Consider the following 9,072-nt stretch of genomic DNA (forward strand, 5'->3'; position numbering starts at 1 on the left):
ATGGGGAATCATCAAGCATGTTCATCAACTAAAAGGAAAAACACTTTGGGACTGCTAGGGTCCTCAAAGGCCCTAACAGTCCTTCACAAATTGGTACTAATGTCTATCTACAGCTTTATTTTTTTGCTATTCTCCCCTTTATTCCAGCCACACACAAAGCATTTGTACTTGCTCTCTGCCTTCTTGGAATGCTCTTCCCTTCTACACATAACTAACTCCTACTCACCTTTCAATTTCCAACTCAGAAGCATCTCAGCTATGCAAGGGCTTTCATGTAATTCACCCACTGAGTGAAGAAGTATTTTGTATCATTTCAGATCACACCACCCAAATTGCTGCCTCTTGATGATGACCTCTTGGCTAACATACACAACATGACTGAATTCATTTTTCTGGTACTTTCTCCCAACCAGGAGGTGCAGAGGGTTTGCTTTGTGATATTTCTGTTCTTGTACACAGCAATTGTGCTGGGGAATTTCCTCATTGTGCTCACTGTCATGACCAGCAGAAGCCTTGGTTCCCCCATGTACTTCTTCCTCAGCTACCTCTCCTTCATGGAGATCTGCTACTCCTCCGCTACAGCCCCCAAACTCATCTCAGATCTGCTGGCTGAAAGGAAAGTCATATCTTGGTGGGGCTGCATGGCACAGCTTTTCTTCTTGCACTTCTTTGGTGGCACTGAGATTTTCCTGCTCACTGTGATGGCCTATGACCACTATGTGGCCATCTGCAAGCCCCTCAGCTACACCACCATCATGAACTGGCAGGTGTGTACTGTCCTTGTAGGAATAGCATGGGTGGGAGGCTTCATGCATTCCTTTGCACAAATCCTTCTCATCTTCCACCTGCTCTTCTGTGGCCCCAATGTGATCAATCACTATTTCTGTGACCTAGTTCCCCTTCTCAAACTTGCCTGCTCTGACACCTTCCTCATTGGTCTGCTGATTGTTGCCAATGGAGGCACCCTGTCTGTGATCAGTTTTGGGGTCCTCTTAGCATCCTATATGGTCATCTTGCTCCATCTGAGAACCTGGAGCTCTGAAGGGTGGTGCAAAGCCCTCTCCACCTGTGGGTCCCATTTCGCTGTGGTTATCTTGTTCTTTGGGCCCTGCGTCTTCAACTCTCTGAGGCCTTCTACCACTCTGCCCATAGACAAGATGGTGGCTGTGTTCTACACAGTGATAACCGCGATCCTGAACCCTGTCATCTACTCTCTGAGAAATGCTGAAATGAGGAAGGCCATGAAGAGGCTGTGGATTAGGACATTGAGACTAAATGAGAAATAGAGGCTGAGTCTTTGTATTGATACTTGGGTTTAGAATGACTGTTGAGTCCAAACTGAAGGAGCAGAATAGGTTGAAGGAAAGTTCACAGGACCTGTTAGTTGCAGATTATTCTACCTGGCCTCTCTCTTTAAAAAGTTCATTTTCATAACTTGAATAGTATTTCTTTTTGTGGAGGTACTAATTTTTTACCACCATAAATAACACTGTAGTTAATATTCTTGAATAGACATTTTTAACCATGCTTCTGACTTTCTTTTAGGCTTATTTCCTAGAGTGAATTTAGTGTTAGAGTATAAAGACTTTTGGTGCACAGTGTTACACTGAGTCACCTATCTTGTGAAAGTGCTCTTGACAGAATAGAATCCTGTCATTAAACACTTTTTTTTGGATAAGAAATGATTTTACATTGTTTCAAAGTATCTTTCCTTAGGACACCAAGGGGTATTAATTACAGAGAGAAAAATGTAACTTTATAGCCCTTCCCCTCTAAACCATTGCCCAAAGTGAGTATCACCAGAAATAAGATCCATTGATGCCATGTGCCTCTTGATATGGTGCACTGGAGAGGCACACAATATCATTATTGTGCTATTCTTACCAAAAATACACAACCTGAGTCTAATCATAAAAAAACACAAGGAGAGCCCAAAGAAAGAATATTCTGCAAAATTACTGTCCTTAACTCTTCAAATGTGTAAAGATGAAGAAAGAAGAATTACTCTGGATTAAAGATAGGTGACAAGTAAAGCAACATGTGATCCTGGATTGGATCTTGGATATTAGATAGAGGACATTTGTGGGGCAAAACTCTGTAGATGAGATAATAAAATTACATGAATGTTAATTTCCTGATTTTGATCATTGTACTGTGCTTGTCTCAAAGAATGTTCTTGGATTAGGGAATTGCTTATTGAGATATCTAGAGATGGAGGGACATCATATTGGCAGCTCTCAAACATTTCAGAAAAATTATTATTTTTATTGTATATCTTTAAGGTGAGCAACATACTGTTTTGATATACCTATACTATACACAAAGAAATTATTAGTCAAGCAAATTAACATACTTATCACTTTGCAGAGTTTGCTTTTTTTTAATGGTAAGAGTACCTAAAATCTACTCTCAGCAAATTTCCAGGATACAATACCATATTATTTACTATAGTCCTTATGTTGCACGTTAGATCTCTAGACTTGTTTATTCTATGTAACTACAAGTTTGCATCCTTTGACCTACTTCTCCACACTTCCCCTGTATCAGAAAATTTCTACCCATCTGTTTGTCTACATATCTATTTATTGAGAGCATGAAGGATAAAGAAAATGTGGCAAAATACCAATATTTGGGAAATCTGGATTAAGGGAAAACAAGAATTCTTTTTTGGAAGTTTTTGTAGGTCAAATCATTTTATAACAAAAAGTTAATAATAGGGGAGGGGTGAGGGATGAGAAATTATTTAATGGTTACTGTGTACACTATTTGGGTGATGGCTACACTAAAAATGCAGACTTCACCAGTATATAATATATCCATCTAACAAAACAACATTTGTACCCCCAAATCTATAACAATAAAAATAAAGTTTTGTAAATTAGAAAGACATCTTACCATTGTTTAATTTGCATTTTTAATTTTTTGCAAGCGTGAACGTTTTCATGTTTAATTGGTTTTGAGCCTTATTTACAAAGTTTTCAATGTTTCAAAGCTGACATTTCTTTACAGTAAAATCTATCAGTTTTAAGTTTTATATTTTATTTTTCCCCTTTTATTTTTAGTTGACACTTAATAATTGTACATATTTATGGGATACAGAGTGATATTTTGACACATGCACACAATGTAAAATGATCCAGGATAATTAGTTTTTAAAATGATTTATTCCATTGTTTTTGTGTTTAGATTATCCTACACCATTAATTAGAGACATATTTTCTTTGAAAAATTACTTAAATTTTTATTTTACTTTTGTGCAAGGGTAATCTTCATTGAGTTTTAAATAAAATAAAATGAAAAGATACGCAAGTGAAAAGTGTCATTTCATTCCTTTCCCCATTTCTACTTTCCCCCTTTCTCTTTTGGTTTCCTTAGTTTCCTGTATTTTTTTCAGTTTCTTTTTTTGAGACAGAGTCTTGCTCTATTGTCCAGGCTGGAGTGCAGTGGCATGATCTCAGCTCACTGCACCCTCTGCCTCCGAGGTTCAAATGATTCTCCTGCCTCAGCATCTGAGTAGTTGGGACTACTTGCACGAGCCACCATGCCCGGCTACTTTTTGTACTTTTAGTAGAGATGGGGTTTCGCCATGTTGGCCAGGCTCATCTTGAACTTCTGGCCTCATGTGATTAGCCCAATCCAGGTCTCCCAAAGTGCTGGGATTACAGGCCTGAACCACCTTGCCCCACCTCTTTCAGAGTTTCTTTAAGCAAATACAAGTATAATATGTATGTTCTCATTTATTTCTACCTTTTACATGAGTGATCGCATACTATATAAATGCATCTGAAACTTATTAACAGTGTATCTGGGAGTTTTAAAATATTTGAACAAGGAAATAGTCTTCATTCTTTTCTTATGGTTTTGTGGTATTCATAAAATGAACATACCATTATTTTCTTTTTTTTATTTATTCCTTCTAAAAAAAACCCGGGATACATGTGCAGAATGTGCAGGTTGTTTACATAGGTATATGTGTGCTATGGTGGTTTGTTGCACCTATTGACCTGCCCTCTAAGTTCCCTCCCCTCACCCCCCACCCCCCAACAGGCCCTGGTGTGTGTTGTTTCCCTCTCTGTGTCCATGTGTTCTCATTGTTCAACTTCCACATATGAGTGAGAACATGTGGTGTTTGCATACCATTATTTTCTTAGGTAGTCTTCTACTGATGGGTATTTGGATTGTTTTCCAATAGTGTGGCAGCAAATAACCTTAATTTAAATATGTAAAACTAATCTGTAAGTTATATTTCCAAAAATATAACTGCTGGATCAAATGTAAGTTTTTCAAAGCTGGAGATTTCACATGTCCTGATTTTAAAATATATTACAAAGCTATAGTAATTAAAACAGTGTGGTACTGGCATAAAGACAGACATAGACCAATGGAATAGAATAGAGAGCCCAGAAACAAATCCACATGTATATGATCCACTGTTTTTTGACAAGGGTGCCAAGAATACACAATGAGGAAAGAACAGTCTCTTCAGTAAATGGCATTAGGAGAACTGAATATCCACATGCAGAAGAATGAAGTTAGACCCTTATATCACCCCGTACACAAAAATCAACTCAAAATGGTTTAAAGATTTAAATGTAGAACCTGATACTGTAAAACTCCTAAAAGAAAACATAGGAAACATAGGGGAAAAGCTTTATGATGTTGAGTTTTGTAATGATTTTATGGGTTTGACAACAAAAGCATAGGTAACAAAAGCAAAAATAAAAATGCAAGACTATATCAAACAAAAAAGGTGCACAGCAAAAGAAACAATCAACAGAGTGGAAAGGCAACCTAAGGAATGGAGGAAAATATTTGCAAGCCATATATCTGCAAAGGGCTAATCTCTAAGATATATAAGAAACTCATAAAACTCAATAGCAAAATAACTAATAGCCTGATTTAAAAATGGGCTAAGAACTTAAATAGACATTTCTCTAGAGAAGATATACAAATGACCAACAGTTATATGAAAAGGTGCTTAACATCATGAATCATCCAGAAAGTACGTATTTCTTTGTAATTGGATAGAGATGACCACATTGCCCTTCACAGTAGTCATACCAACTTGTACTCTCACCAACAAATTTGTCTTTCCTGCAAAATGTATTGTTAAATTCTGAGATTTTGCTAAACTGATAGATGAAAAATGGGAGCACAGTATAATTTAAATTTATATTTCTCTTATGTTGAATAACGTTGAAATAATTTTATTTATTTATTTTTTCTCAAACAGGTTCTGACAGATCTTTTCATATATTTAAAGGCCATTTGTAGTTTTTGTAAACTGTTTCTATTATTTATTCATTTTTGGGTTGTGGTTCTTATTATATTCTAATAATTATTTATATATAAAAATTAGTCCTTTCCAAAGTGAACTGTAGATTTTTGTCCTGGTCATTGGTCTTTTGACTTTGTTTATGGTTTTTTAACATACAGAAGTCTTTTCTTTTTATGTAAATTATCATTATTTTCCTTTATGGCTTCTGGAGTATCCAGAGCCACGTTGTTTCTTATTCTGGAAGTTGTACAGAATGTTTTAATATCTGGTGGGCTAGGTCCTTTTTGTTGCTCTACTTTTTCAAACTTCTGGATATTTTTAAAAATATGTTTGAAGTCAAATGTATATTTTATAAATACTTATAAATGTATTTAGAAAGAATAGACACTATAATGCTATGAGTTTTCCTATCCAAAACCATGATACATCTTTCCATTTGTTCATGTCTTCTTTTGTGTTCTTCAGCAGAGTTTTAACATTTTTTTCCCTCCACAGGTCATGCACATTTCAAGTGTTGCCTATTATAGGGAATTGTTTGACATAGGTATAAAAGCCACTGATTCCACATATTATTTTTTTGCTACCTATAACACATGTCAATGCAAATAGGCATACAACTGTCATACAGCAAACTCAGTTAAGTCTCCACTCTATCCTTTGGCATTCTGATGAACACCTTGCATAAAAGAGTCATTCCAAAATAGTCTGCAGAGTTAGCCAACCATCTAGTTGGATCAGGCAACAGAATCACCAACTGAACTCACAGGACCAAATAGAGCTCTTCTTGAAAGGCATCTGGCTGTGATGCTTGCTAGAATCATTTTGTAACCTTCTTATTATCGAACATGTAAACATATATCAAAATAGACAGTATAGTATAAAGAATCTCTTTTACCCATAACATAATTTCCACAGATAACTCATGGCTGAGCTTGTTTTATTTATATCCGCATCTACCTCTTACCTCATCCCCCATAACATTTTGAAAAAAACTTAGGCATTATGTAATTTATTTTGTAAATGTTTCAGAATATATCTTTAAAAGATAATGACTCCTTAAAAATTTATCCAGAATAGTATTATAACTCTAATGGTGAATGGAATCATATCATTATGAAATGTTCCAGTTATAGTAGTTTTCTGCTTTTAAATATATTTTGTATGATATTATAGCTTCACCAGAGGTCTTTGAGTTTGGATGGGTAAGTCTTTTTCCATTCTTTAACCTTCAACTTTTCAGTGTCCTTGTGTTTTAGGTGTGTTTCTTGTTAACAGTATAGGTTTGAATTTCATCTAGTATATCCATTTTGGTTTAAAATTAGATGATTTATTCCATTCTCATCGAATATAATAACGATAAATTTGCATCTAGACCTACAATCTTACAAACACATTCCAATTGTTTCATCTGTTCTTATATATTTTGATTTAATCAAACATATTCTGTTTTCCTTTATTTTTAATTTTTAAAATTTTCAACTTTTATTTTAGGTTCAGGGGTACTTGCACAAGTTTGTTACATTGGTATATTGTGTGATGCTAAAGTTTGGGGTATGATTGATAATATCACCAAGGTACTGAGCATAGTATCTAATAGGTAGTTTTTCAGCCCTTCCCCCCTCTTCGCTCCCCACTCTAATAGTCCCCAGTGTCTACTGTTCCCATCTTTGTGACCATGAGTACCCAGTGTTTAGCTCCCACTTATAAGTGAGAACATGTGATATTTGGTTTTCTATTCATGCATTAATTTGCTTAGGATAAAGACCTCCAGCTGTATCCATGTTGCTGCAAAGGACATGATTTTGTTCTTCTTTATGGCTGCATAGTATTCTATGGTGTATATATACCACATTTTCTTTATCATTCCATCATGGATAGGCACCTAGGTTGATTCCATGTCTTTGGTATTGTGAATAGTGCTGAAATGAACATACAAGTGCATGTGTCTTTTTGGTGGAACAATTTATTACCCTTTGAGTATATACCCAACAGTGAGATTGCTGGATTGAATGGTAGTTCTGTTTTAAGTTCTTTGAGAAGTCTCTAAACAGCTTTCCACAGTGGTTGAACTAATTCACATTCCCACCAGTAGTGTATAAATGTTCCCTTTTCTCTGCAGTCTCCCCAGCATCTATTTTTTTTTAATAATAGCCATTCTGACTTCTGTAAGATGATATCTTATTGCATTTCTCTAATTATTAGTGATGTTGAGCATTTTTGCATATGTTTGTTGGCTGCTTTTATGTCTTCTTTTGATAAGTGTTTGTTCATGTCCTTTGCCCACTTTTTAGTGGGGCTGTTTGTTTTTTACTTGCTGATTTGTCAAAGTCCCTTATAGATTCTGGGTATCAGACCTCTGTTGGATGCATAGGCTGAAAATACTTTCTCCCATTTTGTAGGGTATCTGTTTATTGTGTTGATAGTTTCTTTTGCAGTGAGAAGCACTTTAATTAGGTCCCACTTGTCAATTTTTTGGTTGTTGTTGTTGAGATTGTTTTTGAGGTGTTAGCCATAAATTCTTCACCAAGGTTGATGTGCAGAATGATATTTCCTAGGTTGTCTTCTAGGATTTTTATAGTTTGAGGTCTTACATTTAAATCTTTGAGCCATCTTGAGTTAATTTTGCATATGGTAAAAGGTAGGGATCCTATTTCATTTTTCTGTATATAGCTGGCCAGCTTTCCCAGCACCATTTATTAAATAGGGGATACTTTCCCCATTGCTTATTTTTGTCAACTTTGTCAAAGATCAGATGGCTGTAAGTGTGAGGTTTTATTTCTGGGCTCTCCATTCTATTCCATTGGTCTATGTGTCTGTTTTGTATTAGTACCATGCTGTTTAGGTTACTGTAGCCTTATAGTATAGTTTTAAATCAGGCAATATGATGCCTCCTGCTTTGTTCTTTTTGCTTAGGATTCCTTTGGCTATTCAGGATTTCTTTGGGTTACATTATAAATTTTAGAATTTTTTTCCTAAATCTGTGAAAAATGACATTGGTAGTTTGATAGGAGTAGTGTTGAGGCTGTAGACTACTTTGGGCATATAGCCATATTAAGGATACCAGTCCTTCCAATTCATGAGCATGGACTGTTTCCCTTTTTATTTGTGTGATCTCTGATTTTCTTCAGCAGTGTTTCATAATTCTCCTTGAAGAGATCTTTCACTCCCTTGGTTAGAGGTCCTCCTAGATATTTTATTTTTTGGTGGCAATTGTGAACGGAATTGTGTTCTTGATTTGGCTCTCAACTTGTATGTTGTTGGTATGTAGAAACGTTATTGATTTTTGTACACTGATTTTGTATCCTGAAACTACAGAAGTAGTTTATCAGTTCTAGCAGCCTTTTGGTGGAGTCTTTAGGGTTTTCTAGGCATAGAATCATATCATCAGCAAACAGAGATAGTTTGGCTTTTTCTTTTCCTATTTGGATGCCGGTTATTTCTTTCTTTTTCCTGATTGCTCTGGCTAGAACTTCTAGTACTATGTTAAATAGGAGAGGTGAGAGTGAGCATTCTTGTCTTGTTCCAGTTCTGAAAGGGAATGCTTCCAACTTTTTGCATTCAGAGTGATGTGGGCTGTGGGTTTGTCATACCTGGCTCTTATTATTTTGAGGTATGTTCTTTTGATGCCCAGTTTGTTGATGGTTTTATTGTGAAAAGATATTGGCTTTTATAGAAAGCTTTTCCCATGTCTATTGAGATGATCATATGGCTTTTGTTTTTAATTCTCTTTATGTGGTGAATCACATTTATTGATTTGCGTATATTCAACCAACCTTGCATCCCAGGAAGAAAAC

The 9,072-nt window shown here is 35.7% G+C and overlaps 1 protein-coding gene across 1 annotated transcript; it reads left to right on the forward strand.

Annotated features, from left to right (window-relative positions):
* Positions 1–374: 374 nt before the first annotated feature.
* Positions 375–1,286, forward strand: OR4X2 (olfactory receptor family 4 subfamily X member 2). Its single transcript, NM_001004727.1, has one exon. It carries the CDS (start codon positions 375–377, stop codon positions 1,284–1,286), a length of 912 nt encoding a protein of 303 aa, NP_001004727.1.
* The last annotated feature ends 7,786 nt before the right edge of the window (positions 1,287–9,072 follow it).

Source organism: Homo sapiens, chromosome 11 (genome assembly GCF_000001405.40).
Source record: "Homo sapiens chromosome 11, GRCh38.p14 Primary Assembly".
In the NCBI taxonomy this organism is placed as follows: domain Eukaryota; kingdom Metazoa; phylum Chordata; class Mammalia; order Primates; family Hominidae; genus Homo; species Homo sapiens.